This window comes from Homo sapiens, chromosome 3 (assembly GCF_000001405.40).
Source record: "Homo sapiens chromosome 3, GRCh38.p14 Primary Assembly".
NCBI classification, from domain to species: domain Eukaryota; kingdom Metazoa; phylum Chordata; class Mammalia; order Primates; family Hominidae; genus Homo; species Homo sapiens.
In genome coordinates this window covers 51,549,227-51,569,094 of record NC_000003.12, presented here as the reverse complement: position 1 = coordinate 51,569,094, position 19,868 = coordinate 51,549,227, and the positions used below count along the sequence as shown (strand labels likewise).

The window sequence follows — 19,868 nt, the reverse complement described above, 5'->3', positions numbered from 1 at the left end:
TGCAGATATGCATTGGTCTTCTGTGGAAAATGTTATAATCCTGCTGGAACTTCTCTGTCTCTACCTACATAAGTGAAACCTTAACTCCTCCACTTTGGAATGCTGACCCCATTTGTTTGGACTCAGTGTTTCCAGATGGCCATCCTCAAGCTTTGCACTCAAATAAACTCCATACTTAATCATATCCTCTGAAATGCATTATTTAAGGTTGACAATTTGAATAAACACCAAATTAAAACATATGATAATATAAAATTATATCCCTAATACAAAAATGAAAGATAGCACTACATTCCCCACCAGGAAATTTACAATGCATTTTCTTCCCTAATTACACATCCTGCCCTGAACACTTCTACACTCTCCAACCTGGTACCCTACTGCTCAAGGATACTCATTCATCCTAGAGCAGTTAAGAGTACCATGTAGGTCTGCATAGTTTCTAACCATGGGGCTGCAGCCTGGAATTAAACCCCAAATCCCTGCCTCACCAGTGCTCACTGTGTCAACCTATAACAGTTGGCAACATTCATTGTCTCAGACTATCTAGTTGACTGAGAGTGAAGAAGAAAAGTGGAACACCTAGAAAAAACTGCCAAATCTCAAGGACAAAGACTCCAGGCCTGCATTTGAGTAGGAGGGTTAATGAAGTTACAATCTTCTGGTTATTCAATCAACAAGTAGTTATTAAACATTCTTGTGACCTAGTCTCAAGTGGACATTTCCCCAGCACTGCAGCCAAAATAAAAATGTCAGTCCAAAAAAGGGAAGAGGAGTGAATGACAGAAAAAGGACAGGATGAGGAGCTAATCCTCCCTCCTGCTCACCACAGCATACAAGAATGAGGAGTGCAACTCACTGTTACATAACAGTGAAGCTGAATAAAAGGCCCAGCTAAGTCAACGGTGACAGCTGCAGAACATTATAAACCAGGGCTGGAGGCTGCCACTCAGCCATACTAAGTAATAAACTACCAAATGCCCCACACCGCAGCCACTTCCATTTCTAGAATCTCATGATCTCTCCCACTAACTAAAGATAAAAAACATGAGCTACCATAACAATTCTGACAGGAGTTACGTGTCAGCATAACTTCACCTTCACATCCAAATGTCCCCATTTTTAAGACATTCTTTTTTTTTTTTTTTTTTTTGAGACAGGGTCTTGCTCTGTCACCCAGGCTCAAGCGCAGTGGCACCAACATAGCTCACTGCAGCCTCGACCTACTGGGCTCAAGGGATTCTCCTGCCTTATTCCTGTACTAAATTATTTTTTGTGCTAGCTTGGATATGACGTACTGAAAAGGCCTCTACTTAGATTTGACTACATATTAATACTGTAGCAACTGGAGTTTACTCTTTACAGTAAATAAAATATTAAAATTAAAAGAATAATTACATATTTTGAGCTTGGATAGATTCAGAAAAGCACCACTCACATAAAAGGATGAAAAGGACCCCTGTCGTTTTACAAACACCTTTAGTGCTGCTGCTATCTTGATCAATAACTATGAAATACACCCATTTCAAATTTCAGAATTAACACAAACCAAGATTAAGTATGTCATTTTATAGCTTCCCTACTGATTCCATTTTTGCAGCAAAAGCCTGTAAAATTATTATCTGCAAAAACAAAAAAATTGCAAAAGTTAACAAAAAAAAGTACTGAGAGGAAGTACTTGAATAACTGGTAGAAACCAACAAGATAACACAATGAAAAAGGTACATCTAACGAGTTGGACAAGAACTTCCTACTTGGTACCTTGGCAGTTAAGAGACCCTGCAACTTATCCCACTGCGAAACATGTAGAAATGTGGATAAAATTATAATAACTGTCCTTTTTAAATGATTCACAGCTATGCTTATAAAAAGTTAATATAAACCCCCAAGGACCAAGAATGAAAAACAAACTGAAAACACAAGACTAATACTCTTGAGATTTGACACTGCAGCAGTTCTGGCAGAAGAGGTTGCCAATCTTGGGGAACAAATAAAAAGATAAGAGATAATGCCTTGGGCTCAAAAAAGCTAAAAAGGAGTAACTATGACCTCTACCTAAAGCCAGGACCTTAAGGAGTTACAATCTCATGAAAGAGTAAACTACAAAAAAATCTGCCAGCCAATACAGAAGACAACATAAAAGCTGCATCAACCTAGGTTGGAGGATGGAGACAAAATGGGAGCCTGTAATCATCAGTCAGCCCTCAAATCAGTTTGAGGTTTAAATATATACTTACCTACACTGTCCAAGAAATTAACCAAAACTAAAGTGGTCCTAGGCAAATGATACATCTTAGGTGCCTAGAAGCAAACGCAAAATAGCTCAGGCACATATCTCAACCCAGGCCATGTGAGATTCCCACAGATAAAGCCTTACTCACAAACTGAATGTACAAACGCACGAGGAACTAATCAAACAGAAGAAAGAGCCAACAGGGTCAACAGACATAACTATCTCTAAAAATGCAGAAAAGATGGTGGTGCATGCCTATAGTCACAGCTATTCAGGAAAGCTTCAGCCTGGGAGTTCGAGGCTGCAGTGAGCTGTGATGGCACCACTACACTCCATCCTGGGTGACAGACTGAGACTCTGTCATTAAAAAAAAAAAAAAAAAAAAAAAAAAAAAACGCAGAAAAGGCTGTGATAAAATTCAGAACCTATTCATGATTACAAAAGCAAACAAACTCTTAGCAAACTTGAAGAAAACTTTCACTGGATAAAGGGAGTCTACTAGAAACAAGCCCCACACAGTATGACTGGGAGTGTACCCTTTAAATTCAGAACAAGATAAGGTTGCATGCTGTCAGTCAGTGTTTCTCTCAACATCAAACTGGAGTCTACAATAAGTAAGACGAAAAAAAGGCAAAGGGACTGGAACAAAGAAAGAAAACTGTAAAGAGTCAAGGATTACATTATTTCAACATAGCAAATCTATAGTCAAACTACTAGACATAAAGGGAGCTCAGTGCTGGGCGCAGTGGCTCACGCCTATAATCCCAGCACTTTGGGAGGCCGAGGCGGGCATATCACGAGGTCAGGAGATCGAGACTATCCTGGCTAACATGGTGAAACCCCATCTCTACTAAAAATACAAAAAATTAGCCAGACATGGTGGCGGGCGCCTGTAGTCCCAGCTACTTGGGAGGCTGAGGCAGGAGAATGGGAGGAACCCGGGAGGCAGAGCTTGCAGTGAGCTGAGATCGCGCCACAGCACTCCAGCCTGGGTGACAGAGCAAGACTCCGTCTCAAAAAAAAAAGGGGGGGGTGGGGGAGCTCAGTAAGGTGGCTACATGAAAGATCAATAAAGAAAAATCTATTTTAGTCTGAACACAGTGGCTCACGCCTGTAATCCCAGCACTTTGGCAGGCCGAGACGGGCGGATCACCTGAGGTCAGGAGTTCAAGACCAGCCTGGCCAACACGGTGAAACCCCATCACTACTAAAAATACAAAAATTAGCCTGGCATGGTGGCACGCACCTGTAATCCTAGCTACTCAGGAAGCTGAGGCAGAAATGCTTGAACTGGGGAGGCAGAGGCTGCAATAAGCTGAGACGGCACCACTGCACTCCAGTGTGGGTGACAGAGTAAGACGCCATCTCAAAAAATACATAAATAAAAATCTATTATATTTCTATGTAGTCACTACCTACAAGTATATAAACACACACACACACATATATATTTTTTAAGACAAGGTCTCATTTTGTCACCCAGGCAGCTGGAGTACAGTGGTGAGATCTCGGCTCACTGCAGCCTGCAGCCTCTACCTCCCAGGCTCAAGCGATTCTTCCATCTCAGCACCCCCACACGCCAACCCAGTAGCTAAGACTACAGGCATGTGCCACCACACCAAGCTAACTTTTTTTCACTTTTTGTAGCAACAGGGTCTATGTGGCCCAGGCTGGAAAGTGTAATTTTTTTAAAATCTTATTTACAATCGCTACAATAACTATATGGTATGTTCCTGACATTCTAGCAACTCATGCAGGCTTCCCCAAGCACCTGAGGACTAGCAATTAGACTGAGTAGTGAGTAGTGCACAGGAGTGAAAAGGCCTCTTTGTTCTAATCTCAGGTCTAGACACTGACTTCAGGAGTGTGATGAACAAAATGGGAAGAAATAAGGCTTCCCTCATTTGAACTTACAGAAAAGAATCAAACATATGATCTTCAAATGAAAAGCTGTTTCTTAACAGCATCCTAACATATAAATAACATGCACTACATGCTCCTGCAAAGCTGTGACTGCTCTCTCTTAACTTTTTCCCCTATTATATTTGAGCCAGTTTCTTTCTTTTTTTAATTTTAAAAATTTAATAAACAGAAAATTAAAAAAATAAACAGAGATGTGGTTTCACCATCTGGCCCAAGCTGGTCTTGAACTCCTGGGCTCAAGCCATCCACCCACCTCAGCCTCCCAAAGTGCTGGGATTACAGGTGTGAGCCACTGCACCTGGCCTGAGCCAGTGTCTTCAACAGGCTATATAGTTAAGCCAAGAAGCCAATGTCTAAGTTTTGCTGAATCCTAGTAATACTGATTTGCCTTATTTAGAAGGCTAAAGGAAAGGGCAGACCCCAAGAGCTCCCCTTATACCTCCTCCTATCCAGTCTCTCCATTCCTAACACCTGACTCTATGTTTACATGTAGATAACAAACCTCCTATCTTCAGTTACAGGACTCCAAATTTAATGTATTCTGTGGCCCAGAGTGAAGCATTCCCTGTTTTCCTGCATAAGGCAGAGACATATTGCTTCACTGCAATTTAAGAGAAGAATAGAAAAGAAACCTCCTATCTTCAGTTACATCTAATGGAGGACTCCAAATCTAATGTATTCTGTGGCCCAAAGTGAAGCACTCCCTGTTTTCCTGTGTAAGGCAGAGACATACTGCTTCATCGCAATTTAAGAGAAGAATAGAAAAGAAGCCTGGCCTGAGATTTCCTAAGGCTTTACCAGGCACTGGGAGCAGCCTCAAACCCTTGAGAAGGGTTTGTATCTATACAAGCCATTAACATCAGGATTAAAATACTATAGCCAGCAGACTCAAAACCCTGAAAAGCCCATTGATACCTAAATCAATTATTTAATTTTGCTTTCCAAAAGTTGTCCCCCTCTGGGCTGCCTTCTAAACTTGACAGGAAGTGGCATGTTTTAAAAAAGATTTACAAATAACCACAGGACATTTAAGGAATTATTTAAGAGAAACCTCAGTGAAAGAAAAGGGATCATCTTGATCTGTGGAGAACAAGCTGATAGTCTACCACCTAATAACTAATCCTCCCACACCTGGGCCTTTTCCAGTGTCAGTGAGAGTCAACACTTTCATTATCTGCAGGCTTAACAATTAGTTAAAACTCACTAAATATATTACCAAATGCTTAAACACAGAAAAAAATAAATAAAAAATAAACCCTTCTCAGCAAAATGATAAAGCAAATGCTACGGTATTATTACTTTCTAACTACTGACCCTGATGATCTTTGATGAACACACCGGGGAGGGAACCGTGGCAAAAACCAGGAGGTCCTTCTACTAAAATGCACATTCTATGCACCCTGACATAAAGAGGCTCTCAGGGCTTGGATCAGGCTGTTCTATGAAGCTTCAGAGAAAAAGTAGATGGGATGGATGAGAACCAATACTTGGAAAGCACCACATGAAATGAAAGCCATTAAAATAAGGAACAGTCTCCTAGGGTACTAGTCCAAAAATGAATATTAAATAGTAATAGAAGTTTAAAAAGGAGGAAGAAGATGGTTCTACAAAGATAGTTCTAATACAGCCAGGTGCCAAAATCTAAACATGCTCTTGTTAATACGTTTACATCCTTCAGGTCAGAAACTGACCCTTACCTACTCAGGTTTTTTAAATTTACAAAACAGCTTACCAATGTGGAAGCTTTGGTGGTCTCTGGAATGTCTAATTCTAGAGAGTCACATCTCCAAAAATTCTGTTCAGCTCAACAAAGACTTATTAAAAAACTACTCTCTACTGGAGACACAAAGATACACACGACAGGTCAGGAAAGGCAAAAAAACACTAAGAGTGAGGCTCAAAGAGAGTTTTGAAGAAAGAATTGGACAGTTAGGTAATGTCCAGGGAATGGGGTAGGCAGAGGTATTGCCTGGGAATGACTTCAAAGATAAGAAATTTCTGGCCAGACTCGGTGGCTCATGCCTATAATCCAGCATTTTGGGAAGCTGAGGTGGGAGAATGGCTTGAGTCCAAGAGTTTGAGATCAGCCTGGGCAACAAAGTGAGACCTCATCTCTACAAAATATCAAGCTGGGTGTGGTGGCTTACACCTGTAATCCCAGAACTTTGGGAAGCCAAGGCAGAAGGATCGCTGAGCACAGACTTTGAGACCAGCCTAGGCAACATAGGGAGACCCCATCTCTACAAAACAAACAAACAAAAAAATTAGCTGGCCAGGCATGGTGGCTCATGCCTGTAATCCCAGCACTCTGGGAGGCCAAGGCGGGTGACCTCCTCACCTGAGGTCAGGAGTTCAAGACCAGCCTGGCCAACATGGTGAAACCCTGTCTGTACTAAAAATACAAAAAATGGCAGGGCACAGTGGCTCACGCCTATAATCCCAGCACTTTCAGAGGCCCAGGCGGGCAGATCACCTGAGGTCCAGAGTTCAAAACCAGCCTGGCCAACATGTTTATTTAGTCTCTACTAAATATACAAAAATTAGCCAGACATGGTGGTGGGTGCCTGTAATCCCAGCTACTTGGGAGGCTGAGGCGGGAGAATTGCTTGAACCCAGGAGGTGGAGGTGGCAGTGAGCCGAGATCACGCCACTGCACTCCAGCCTGGGCAACAAGAGCAAGACTCCATCTCAAAAAAAAATAAAATTTAAAAAATTTAAAGAATAAAAATACAAAAATTAGCTGGGTGTGGTGGCTCATACCTGTAGTCCCAGCTACTTGGGAGGCTGAGGCACGATAATCGCTTGAACCCAGGAGGCAGAGGTTGCAGTGAGCCAATATCACACCACTGCACTCCAGCCTGGGCGACAGAGTGAGACTCGGTCTCAGGGGGAAAAAAAAAAAATTAACTGGGCAGGGTGCCACACACCTATAGTCCCAGTTACTTGGGAGGCTGAGGTGGGGGGATTGCTTGGGCCCAGGAAGTCAAAGTTGCAGTGAGCCACAATTGCGCCACTGCACTCCAGCCTAGGCAACAAAGTGAGACCTTGTCTCAACAATAAATAAATAATAAAAAAAATCAGCCAAGCCAGGCGTGATGACCCACACCTGTAATTCCAGCACTTTGGGAGGCTGAGGCAGAAGGACTGCTTAAGCATAGGAATTCAAGACCAGTCTGGGCAACATAGGGAACAAAAAATAAAATAAAATAATTAGCCAGGAATGGTGGCATGCTCCTGTGGTCCCAACTCCTCAGGAGGCTGAGGTGGGAGGATTGCTTGAGCCTGGGAGGTTGAGGCTGCAGTGAGCCGTGATTGCAACACTGCACTCCAGGGTGGGCAAAAGAGTGAGACTCTGTTTCAAAAAAAAAAAAAGAAAAAGATAAAAGGGAATTTCGGCCGGGCGTGGTGGCTCACGCCTATAATCCCAGCACTTTGGGAGGCAGAGGCGGGCAGATCACCTGAGGTCAGGAGTTCAAGAGCAGCCTGGCCACCATGGTGAAACCCGTCTCTACTAAAAATACAAAAATTAGCCGGGCATGGCGGCACATGCCTGTTATCCCAGCTACTTGGGAGGCTGAGGCAGGAGAATCACTTGAACCCAGGAGGTGGAGGTTGCAATGAACCGAGATCACATTTCTGCACTCCAGCCTGGGTAACAGAGCAACTCTGTCTCACCTAAAAAAAGATAGGGAATTTCATGAACAATGATTCAGAGACAAGAAAGCAGAATGTTTTCAAGGAAATCCAAGCAGTCTGTATTACTAAAGCATAAAGTAGGAAGTATGGGAGAAGAGTAGAAAATGAGCCTGGAGAAGTAACAGGGCCAAGAACATAGGGCAACCTGGAGACCTGCTAAGGAGATAGGATTTTAGCCTCCAAGCAAGAGCAGAATGGTATAAGCAGATCCGTCTTTTATAAAGGTCACTCTGTGGCATAGAATGTTAATGCTTAAAAGAACAGTTTCAAACTGAAAACAAGTACCAGCTCATTTTGCTACATGAGCTTCAGCAAGCTACTTAAATTCTTTGGACCACAGTTTGTTTCCTCACTTGTAAAATGAAGATATTCCCTACCTTCAAATTTTCTTAAGAGGATCAAGTGGTGAAGGAATATAAATTCTACAATAAAGATACCTGGCTCAGTATTTAGCACATTGTATTCAAAACATGGCCTAGAAAAAAAATTTGCTGGAAGAAATGTGGAAGGCGGAATAAAAGGGGATTGAAAATAGAAGGCCAGTTAAAAAGCCAGAGGAAAGGCCAGATTTGAAAACTATTTGGGGGGCCAGGCACGGTGGCTCACACCTGTAATCCCAGCACTTTGGGAGGCAGAGGCAGGTGGATCATGAGGTCAGGAGATCGCAGCCTGGCTAACACAGTGAAACCCTGTCTCTACTAAAAAATATAAAAAATTAGCCAGGCGTGGTGGTGGGCACCTGTAGTCCTAGCTACTACAGGAGGCTGAGGAAGGAGAATGGCGTGATCCCAGGAGGCGGAGCTTGTAGTGAGCAGAGACTGCACCACTGCACTCCAGCCTAGGTGACAGAGCGAGACTCCATCTCAAAAAAAAAAAAAAAGAAAAAAAAGAAAATGATTTGGAAGGTAAAATAAATTATGCTAGTAAAGTATTGCTCTTCAAACCTCAATAAAAGAGTAAAAGACACATGAGGTTTCTTTTCCAGGTTTCCCTAACCAGGGCCTAGAGTGCTATTGTGACCTCCTCCTCAAACACAAGCCCAGGTTGAAAACCAGATGCCACACATATTTCAGCTTTTACTATCAACACTGCTGAAGAGGCCATAGGTATATCATGGGGTGGGAGCTCTTTGGTGTCAGATACCTGGTTTAACAGCACCACTTAACTGGAGCAAATCACTTAGTTTCTCATCTGTACAACTGGCATAATGGCATCCACAGCTCTGTGCTGTGAGGATTCACACAGCATACAACATGGCAATCAGTCAACAGCAGCACATCACAAACAAATCCTACATAGATGTGAAACATACAAAACAGTATCTCTTACAAAAATACTACATAGCCTTATCATATCTGTAGCCCATTTGGAAGCTCCTGTAGCTGAAACTGCCCAGTACTTATCAGTACGTTGGCTCTCATACAGACAACCGGTGTTCCACTTGGAGCAAGATTGTTTTTATTTTCAATATGGGTATAACATCTTCCACCATAATATGTACTATCTGGTTCCTAAACAAATAAAACTGGTTTCAGAGAGCTCATCTCTAGAACAGCAGCTGGGATACAGTTTTACCCAAAAGTTAAGTAAAAATTTGGCGCCAAGCCCAGAAAACATGCATTCCTCACAGACAAAACTGGATAAACCAAATCTACAATGAGTGGATAAAACAGTAGGGAAGGGAAGAGCTCTGAGGAAGCTAGAATAACCCAGATGCAAAGACCCATCCATAATCAAGTGGAATCAAGTGAGGCAGTGGGATGAATCAGTTTGGATCTGAAGCACTCAGGGGAGGCACCGAGTTACCAAGTGTAAGACACCAAACTTACTAAATTTAAGATATCTGGGACATAAATATTCTCCATGTTATTTATGTAACATGAAAGATTTATGCAAGCACAAAAAGCCAAATGTTCTACCCTCATTAAGATTCAAGATTCCTTATAAGAGGTTAGGAAGCTGGAGAGTATAACCTGGGGAGAATATCAGTGGAGATAAAATTTAGACACATTAAATGTGAAAGAGTAACCCTTTCCATTTCAGTGGGCTATTGTCGGCCAGGCGCAGTGGTTCACGCCATTAATACACGCCTGTAATCCCAGCACTTTGGGAGGCCGAGGATGGTGGATCATCTGAGGTCAGGAGTTTGAGACCAGCCTGGGCAACATGGTGAAACCCCCTCTCTACTAAAAATACAAAAAATTTGCCAGGTGTGGTGGTATACGCCTGTAATCCCAGCTACTAGGGAGGTTAAGGCAGTAGAATTGCTTAAACGTGGGAGGCAGAGAATGCAGTAAGCCAAGATCATGCCACTGCACTCCAGCCTGGGCAAGAGTGAGACTCCGTCTCAAAAATAAATAGGCTATTTGTTGATGCTGCTACTATTACACAGTTGATTTCTATTAAGGAATGTATTGACTATATACTTCACAAGGCATTCTTTGCTATTCCACTTATGGGACAGTAAGAGAAGTGCCAGCATGGTGCCTCATGCTTGTAATCCCAGCACTTTGGGAGGCAGAGATGGGAGGATTGCTTGAGCCCAGGAGTTCAAGACCAGCCTGGGTAACATAGCAAGACCCCCATCTCTACAATAATTAAAGAATTAGCCAGGCATAGTGGTACATGTCTGTGGTCCCAGCTACTTGGGAGGCTAAGGTGGGCGGAATCACTTGCACCCAGGCAGTTGAGGCTGCAGTGAACCATAATCACGCCACTGCACTCTAGCCTGAGCAACACAGCAAGCAAGACCCTGTCTCAAAAAAGAGAGAGAGAGAGAGAGAAGTGGACCTTCAAAGGAGAAAGGCTTGCCAAAGTCCCTTTGAAATGAAATTGATATTTAAGATGCTGCTATGGCACATGATTTTGACTAGAAAAAAAATAGTCTTCCTCTAAACATCTAAGAAATTTTTTAAACATTTAATCTAAGAAAAATTTTAAAACATTTAAAACAGGAGCCAACTGACAGATAAGGGCAGGTCACACGTCTCTGGTGGAGAAATTTGGGCTGAGAGCATGGATTCGGTCAATCAGTAAATTCTACTTTGCCCTAAACAGAGCCTTACAAGCCAGACTTGATAAGATTCATAAACAAATCGGCCAGGGGCGGTGGCTCACACCTGTAATCCCAGCCCTTTGGGAAGCTGAGGTGGGCAGATTGGTTGAGCTTATAAATTTGAGACCAGCCTGGGCAACACGGTAAAACCCTCTCTCTACAAAATATACAAAAATTAGCTGGGCATGATGGCACACACCTGTGGTTTCATCTACTCCTGGGGCTGAGGTGAGAGGATCACTTGAGCCTTGGGAGGTGAAGGTTGCAATGAGCAGAGATTGTGCCACTGCAACAGAGCGAGACCTTGTCTCAAAAAAATAAAATAGAATGTTCTTTTTTTTTTTTTTTTTTTTTTTTGAGATGGAGTTTCCCTCTTGTTACCCAGGCTGAAGTGCAGTGGCGCAATCTCGGCTCACTGCAACCTCCACTTTCTGGTTTCAAGCGATTCTCCTGCCTCAGCCTTCCAAGTAGCTAGCATTACAGGCGCCCGCCACCATGCCTGGCTAATTTTTGTATATTTAATAGAGACAGGGTTTCACCACGTTGATCAGGCTGGTCTCAAACTCCTGACCTCGTGATCCACCCACCTCAGCCTCCCAAAGTGTTGAGATTACAGGCGTGTAATTAATAAGAACATAAGAATGTTCTTATTAATTAAACACTCAGTGTCAATGTCTAGATCTAGCTTTAAAATATGCCAACAACAGCCTGGTGCAGTGGCTCACACCTCTAATCCCAGCACTTTGGGAGGCTGAGGCAGGAGGATAGCTTGAGCCCAAGAGTTTTGAGACCAGCCTGGGCAATGTGGTGAGACCCCATCTCTACATAAATTTAAAAATTAGCTGGGCATGGCAGTGTGCACTTGTAGTCTCAGCTACTCAGGAGGCTGAGGTTGGAGAATACTTTGAGCTGGGAAGTCGAGGCTACAGTGAGCCATGCCACTGCATGCCAGCCTGGGCAACAGAGTGAGACCCTGTCTCAAAAAAAAAAAAAAAAAAAAAAAAAAAGCCAACAACAACAAAAAATAGGGAATATATTGAAAAAGATGGAGAAGTATTGATAATTGTTGAAATTGGGTGACAGGTACATGATGCTTCATGATGCTATACTCTCCACAGTTGTACGTGTATGCCAAGCATGTGCAACATCCCTCCCAGCAAGGATGATGGGAAAGGGGGAGTTAGTCAGAACAAGGGAGAATAAACATCAGGAAAAGAATCTTTGGTCCAGGCAACTAGGAACTCACCTCAGAGATATTGCTCAGGAGGAATGCAGGACCAAGCCAGACAACAAAGGATTAAGAGATATATAGGGCCGGGTGCAGTGGCTCACGCCTGTAATCCCAGCACTTTGGGAGGCAGAGGCGGGCGGATCACCTTTGGTCAGGAGTTTGACAACAGCCTGACCAAAATGGAGAAACCCCGTCTATACTAAAAATACAAAATTAGCCGGGCATGGTGGCGCATGGCTGTAATCCCAGCTACTCTGGAGGCTGAGGCAGAAGAATCGCTTGAACCCGGGAGGCGGAGGTTGCAATGAGCCGAGATCATGCCACTGCACTCTAGCCTGGGCAACAAGAGCGAAACTCTGTCTCAAAAAAAAAGAGAGATAGATAAAAGAGAGATAAAGCATCTGGTTGGCACTGAGTGAGGTGGCCCACACCTGTAATCCCAGCACTATGGGTGGCCAAGGCAGGAGGATCACTTGAGGACAGGAGTTTGAGACCAGCCTGGGCAACACAGGGATACCCTGTCTCTACAAAATAAAAAGTAAAATCTAGCCAGCCATGGTGGCACCCGCCTAAGAGGATAGCATGGGCCAGGGAGGTTGAGGCCATAGGGAGCAGATTGCACCACTGCACTACAGCCTGGGTGAAAGAGCAAAACCCTGTCTCAAAAACAAAACAAAACAAAAAAAGGCAATTGGTAAGGAAATGGCAGTAAAACTTAATGAGAGGATGATAAAAAATAAACCAAAGGAGGACAGAAAGAAGAAGGCTAGGCTACCATGAGAGGCACAGAGCTAAGCAGTTACTGTGGTCCTATCGTTTATGTAGGAAAAAACAAAAGGGGAGGGGATCAAGGCTAGGAAAGACTATAGGAGGACCTTACAAAGGATGTAATAGGTAAATCAAGGTTACAGAAGAAACAGGAATAGATAAAATTCAATTGGAACGGGTTGGATTGAAAAAACAATGAAGACCACCTCTTCTGGGAGAATGAATATAGAGAAAGGTAACACTCTGAAACTAGAATGCAAAAGGGGCTGTGTAATATCACAGTTAAGGGAGGAGGCTCTGACATTCAACCATTTGACTTTAATTTCAGCTTGTCACCATCACCGAAGTTGACATAAGTAAAGTACTTGTGTCTGGGGGTAAATACGAGCATATACTCTTTCATTACTGTCGATGAAATGGATCTAACTGTAAAATATTTAAAAAGACTTATTCTGAGCCAAAAATGAACGACCATGGCCCAAGGCACGGTTTCAACAGGTCCTGATAACATGTGCCGATGGTGGTTGAGTTACAGCTTGGTCTCACTCTGTCACCCAGGCTGGAAAGCAGTGGTGCGATTTCTGCTCATTGCAACCTCCGCCTCCCCCAGGTTCAAGCAATTCTCCCACCTCAGCCTCCAAGTAGCTGGGATTACAGGTGTGCAACACCACGCCTGGCTAATTTTTCTATTTTCAGTAGACATGTGTGCCACCATGCCTGGCTAATTTTTGTATTTTTTGTAGAGACAGGGTTTCACCATATTGGCCATGCTGGTCTCCAACTCCTGACCTCAGGTGATCTGCCCACTTTGGCCTTTCAGAGTGCTGGGATTACAGGTGTGAGCCACCATGCCTGGCCAGTTTTATGTATTTTAGGGAAACATATAACATCATCTCAGTATCTGTGAAGTATACATCTGTTCTGTCCAGAAAGGTGGGTCAACTACAGTGGGGGAGGGGAGAGGCTTTACATATCACAGATTAAAGATTTTCTGATTGGCAATTGGTTATCATCTAAAAATCTGGAATCAATAGAAAGGAGTGTCTGGGGCCACCACAATGGCTCACACCTGTAATCCCAGCATTTGGGAGGCCGATGTGGGCGGGTCACTTGAGGCCAGGAGTTTGAGACCAGCCTGGTCAACATGGCAAAACCCTTTTACTATAAAAAATACAAAAATTAGCCAGGCATGGTGGCACACACCTTTCATCCCAGCTACTTAGAAGGCTGCAGCAAGAGAATCGCTTGAACCTGGGAGGCAGAGGCTGCAGTAAGCAGAGGTCGCACCACTGCACTCTAGCCTGGTAGACAAAGGGAGACCTTGTCTCAAAAAAAAAGAAAAGAAAAGAAAAGAAATGAGGGTCTGAGTTAAGAGAAGGGATGGTGGAGACCAAGGTTCTTATTATGTAGATGAAGTCTTAAAGGTGGCAAATGTTTCCTAGTCAGACCTTTAAAAGGTACTAGACTCTCAGGTAATCTCTTCAGGACTGGGAGGGCCTGGAAGGGAAAAGATCCAGTTGTGTTTATAGAGATTCTTTACAGATGCAAATTTTCCACCACAAACGATGGCTTTGCAGATTTCAAAATATAGCAAAGAAATGTATTTTGGGTAAAATATTTTTATTTCGTCATCTGTCATTTATTTATTTATTTATTTATTTATTGAGATGGAGTTTCACTCTTGTTGCCCAGGCTGGAGTGCAATAATATCATCTCGGCTCGTTGCAACCTCTGCCTCCCGGGTTCAAGTGATTCTCCTGCATCCCGAATAGCTGGGATTACACCTGTGCACCACCACACCCAGCTAATTTTTTTTTTTTTTTTGAAAGAGTCTCGCTTTGTCGCCCAGGCTGGAGTGCAGTGGCATGATCTCAGCTCACTGCAACCTCCGCTTCCAGGGTTCAAGAGATTCTCCTGCCTCAGCCTCCAGAATAGCTGGGATTATAGGCGTGCACCACCACACCCGGCTAATTTTTGTATTTTTAGTAGAGACGGAGTTTCACCATGTTGGTCAGGCTGCTCTCGATCTCTTGATCACGCCCAGCCTACAGAGATCTCTTTTGTGATAGGAAAAGTTGATCGATGCAGCAAATTTCACTGTTGTCTTATTTTGAGAAATTGCTACAGCTACTCCAATCTTCAGCAATCACCACCCTGATCAGTCAGCAGCCATCAATGTCTAGGCAAGACCCACAACCAGCAAAAGGATTACAAGTCCTGAAGGCTCAGGTGATTGTTAACATTTTTTGGCAATAAAGCATTTTAAAATTAAGGTATATACATTGCTTTTTTAGACATAATGCTATTAGGAACTTAATAGACTATAGTATGGTGCAAACATAACTTTTCTTTCCTCTGAGACAGGATCTTGTTCTGTCGCCCAGGCCAGAGCGCAGTGGTGCAATGATAGCATACTGCTGACTCGAACTCCTGGGCTGGCAAGTGATTCTTCCACCTCAGCCTCCAGAGTATCTAGGACTAAACAGGTGTACACTGCAACACTCGGCTAATTTTTAAAACGTTTTGTAGAGACAGGGTCTCGTTATGCTGCCCAGACTAGTCTTGAACTTCTGGCCTCAAGTCATCCTCCCATCTCCACCTCCCAAAGTACTGGAATTACGGACATAAGCAACTATGCCAAGCCTGTACACATAACTTTTATATGTACTGGGAAACCAAAAAATGTGTGTGACAGGCTTTATTGCAATATTTGCTTTATTGTAATGGTCTAGAACTCAACCTGCAAGATCTCCAAAGCATGCCTGTATACAGTATGTGAGCTGCTATGATTATTATTATTAAAACCAAAGTTAAGCTGGGTGCAGTGGCTCACGCCTGTAATCCCAGCACTTTGGGAGGCGGAGGCGGGTGGATCACGAGGTCAAGAAATCGAGACCATCCTGGCCAGCATGGTGAAACTCCATCTCTACTAAAAATACAAAAATTAGCTGGGTGTGGTAGTGGGCACCTGTAGTCCCAGCTACTTGGGAGGCTGAGGCAGGAGAATCACTTGAACTCGGGAGGTGGAGGTTGCAGTGAGCCGAGATTGCGCCACTGCCCTCCATCCTGGCAACAGAGTGAGACTCCCTCTCAGAAAAACAAACAAACAAAAAAACACACACAAAGTAAAAATTCCTAATAGTCAAAAAATTCTCACAAATCAACAAAATAAATTAATTAAATCAGCCAAAAAGTTGACAAAGGACAAGAAATAAATACATACATGAAATAAACACATGAAAAGATGCTCATCCTCTTCAATAAATAAATGTAAATAAAAATTAGTTACCTAGGCTTCAAATTGACAAAGATTCAAAATGTTGATTCCCAGCCACGCATGGTAGCTCACACCTGTAATCCCAACACTTGGGGAGGCCAAGTGGGGAGGACTGTTTGAGCCCAGAGGTTCAAAATCAGCCTGGGCAACATAGTGAGACTTCATCTCTACAAAAAATGGACATGGTAGTAAGCGCCTGTAATCCCAGCTACCTCAGGAGGCTGAGGTGGGAGGATCACTTGAGCCCAGGAGACAGAGGTTGCAGTGAGCTATGATCATCGTGCCACTGCACTCCAACCTGAGCAAGAGTCAGACCCTCTCTTTAAAAAAAAAAAAAAAAAAAAAAAAAAGGCCAGGCGCAGTGGCTCACACCTGTAATCCCAACACTTTGGGAAGCCGAGGCAGGTGGATCATGAGGTCAGGAGATGGAGAACATCCTGGCTAAGAAAGTGAAACCTCGTCTCTACTAAAAATACAAAAACTCAGCCGGGCGTGGTGGCGGGTGCCTGTAGTCCCACCTACTCGGGAGGCTGAAGCAGGAGAATGGCATGAACCCGGGAGGCGGAGCTTGCAGTGAGTCAAGATCTTGCCACTGCACTCTAGCCTGGGCGACAGAGCAAGACTCTGTCTCAAAAAAAAATTGATTCCTATTCTAGCAAGTATAGCTAGATAGCTAGGTAAATAAACAAATAAATAAATAAAAATATTGATAAAGTTCAGTGTCGGGGAGAAATATAAATTGATACAATCTTTTGAAAGTGATAAAATCTAACAAAATTTTAAACATGCATACATTTCTATAAGTAGAATTTCTGTGTCAAAACCTTTGTAGAAATACTTATACTTACAGAAATGTATCCTAGGCTGGGCGTGGTGGCTCACGCCTATAATCCCAGCACTTTGGGAGGCTGAAGAGGGCAGATCACGAGGTCAAGAGATTGAGATCATCCTGGCCAACATAGTGAAACCCCACTGTACTAAAAATACAAAAATTAGCCGGGCATGGTGGTACATGCCTGCAGTCCCAGCTACTCTGGAGGCTGAGGCAGGAGAATCGTCTGAACCCAGGAGATGGAGGTTGCAGTGAGCCGAGATCACACCACTGCACTCCAGCCTGGCGACAGAGCGAGACTCCATCTCAAAAAAAAAAAAGAAAGAAAAAGAAATGTATCCTACAGGCCGGGTGCAGTGGCTCACGCCTGTAATCTTTGCACTGTGGGAGGCCGAGGCAGGTGGGTCATTTGATGTCAGGAGTTCGAGACCAGCCTGGCCAACATGGTGAAACCCCATCTCTACCAAAAATACAAAAATTAGCCAGGCGTGTGGCACATGTCTGTAATCCCAGCTACTTGGAAGGCTGAGGAACGAGAATCACTTGAACCCAGGAGGCGGAGGTTGCAGTGAGCCGAGATCGCGCCACTGCACTATAGCCTGGATGACAAAGTGAGACTCCACCTAAAAAAAAAAAAAATTAAATTAGGCCAGGCATGATGGCTCATGCCTGTAATCTCAGCACTTTGGGAGGCCGACACAGGCAGATCACTTGAGCCCAGGAGTTCAAGACCAGCCTGGGAAACATAGAAAAACCCCATCTCTACAAAGAATACAAAAATTAGCTGGGCATGGTGGCATGCACCTGTGGCCCCAGCTACTCAGGAGACTGAGGCAGGTGGACTGCTTGAGCCTGGGAGGTCAAGGCTACAAAGAGCTATCATCATGCCACTGCATTCCAGCCTAGGTGACAGACTGAGACCTTGTCTCAACAACAAAAAAAGATTAAATGAAAAAAAAAAAGTCACAGAAAGGTAGATAGACTATAACCCCATTTCTGTACAAAGGAATTACTTTCTCTTACACACGTACACAAATTTGTTAGTATGACTATCACCTAGGCTGGAGTACAGTGGTGCCATCTCAGCTCACTGCAATCTCCACCTCCTGGGTTCAGGGGATTCTTGTGCCTCAGCCTCCCAAGTAGCTGGGATTAACAGGCATGTACCACCACACCGGCTAATTTTTATATTTTTAGTAAGCACAGGGTTTCACCATGTTGGCCCGGCAGTTCTTGAATTCCTGGCCTAAAATGATCTGCCTACCTCAGCCTCCCAAACCAAAATGCTGGGATTACATGTGTAAGCCACCGTGCCTGGACTTTATTTACTTATTTTTAGAGACAGGATCTTACTGTGTTGCCCTGGGCCCGAGTGCAGTGGCACAATTGCAGCTCACTGCATCCTCTACCTCCCAGGGTCAGGCAATCCTCCCACCTCAGCCTCCTGAGTAGCTGGGAAAACAGGGGCGCACCACCACACTCAGCTATAGAGCCTCCCTATGTTGCCCAGGCGGGTCTCGAAATCCCGGACTTAAGCAATCCACCTACCTTGGCCTCCCAAAGTGTTGGGATTACAGGCATTAAACCACCACACCCAGCAGGCCTAAATTCTTAATGGTAGTTAATAATGAGATATGGAATTATGGTTTCCTTTCCCTATTTAAAAATGCCTGAATTTTACTGTACTCATACATTGTTTATGTAACCAGGGAAAAAAGGTCAAGGACTTTCTAAGAGCAACAGACTGGATGACGAAAGTATGGTGACAGAAACAATGGGGAAAATATTTGAGAGCACAAGCCCTAAAATGAGGTCACTGGTCCAGAGCCTGGGGGAAAGGCACCTTTGGGAAACATGTAAACAGCTGCTATAGGAAATGGGACCCTTAGGAGGCAGCACAGGAGCACCCTGAGGGGCAGAGAGCGATCAGCTCAAGTGAGGCAGTGGGAACTACCAGCAACCAAGACAGCTCATTTTCCTGACTGTCCAGAAACACTGGGAATGGGCACCCTAGGGGCAGTGAAAAGCAGCCAGGCAAGAGAATTCAGAGACAGCAACTAGCATAGCCGGCAGGGCACAAAGTCAGGGAAGCAAAGGGTTCTAATACCTGGGGAAGGAATACTGGAATTGTGGACCATGACCAACCAGAGCCAAGCTAGTAGGGGAGGTAGGTGAAACACAGGGAAAGAAAAATGAAGAGATAGGGTGTGGAGACAGTGGGACTGGAAGGCACAATGACAGCAGAGCTCAAGCCAGAATACATCCATTTTCCTTCCCCACCCCCTTTTTTTTTTTTTTTTTTGAGATGGAGACTCGCTCTGTCACCCAGGCTGGAGTGCAGTGGCGTGATCTCAGTTCACTGTAACCTCCACCTTCCAGGTTCAAGTGATTCTACTGCCTCAGCATCCCGAGTAGCTAGGATTGCAGGTGTGTACCACCTCGTCTGGCTAATTTTTGTGTTTTTAGTAGAGATGAGGTTTCACCACGTTGGCCAGGCTGGTCTCCAACTCCTGACCTCAGGTGATTTCCCTCCACCGCCCCGCCCTGGCCTCGGCCTGCCAAAGTGGTGGGATTACAGGTATAAGCCACCGCGCCCAGCCTTTTTCTCCCGATTTCTATACAATATACATTAGGAGAAAGACTCCTACTTGTTTCATGGGCCTCAATTGCCGAACTATGTCCACCTGGCTCTGGATTTGTCTCCTGACCACTAAGCAATCTGTAAAGAGAGTAGAGCTCTCTAGGTTCCTCCAGCAGCCAGCTCTTCCAGAGTTACTGGGCTGCTAGGCCGGGAGTGGTGGTTCACGCCTGTAATCCCAGCACTTTCAGGGTCCAAAGCAGATGGATCACCTG

General features: G+C 44.1%; 1 protein-coding gene across 6 annotated transcripts in view, besides 1 other annotated feature; it reads right to left on the bottom strand.

Annotated features, from left to right (window-relative positions):
* Positions 1-19,868, bottom strand: part of RAD54L2 (RAD54 like 2) — a 129,942-nt gene that overhangs the window by 99,566 nt on the left and 10,508 nt on the right. The gene's annotated exons all lie outside the window — the stretch shown is intronic.
* Positions 13,045-13,983: an enhancer, noted in NCBI's record as "H3K27ac-H3K4me1 hESC enhancer chr3:51589128-51590066 (GRCh37/hg19 assembly coordinates)". NCBI's record gives its function as "activates a minimal SCP1, AML or CMV promoter by ChIP-STARR-seq in naive H9 embryonic stem cells {active_cell/tissue: H9 hESC(naive)}" and the evidence as "EXISTENCE:reporter gene assay evidence [ECO:0000049][PMID:30033119]".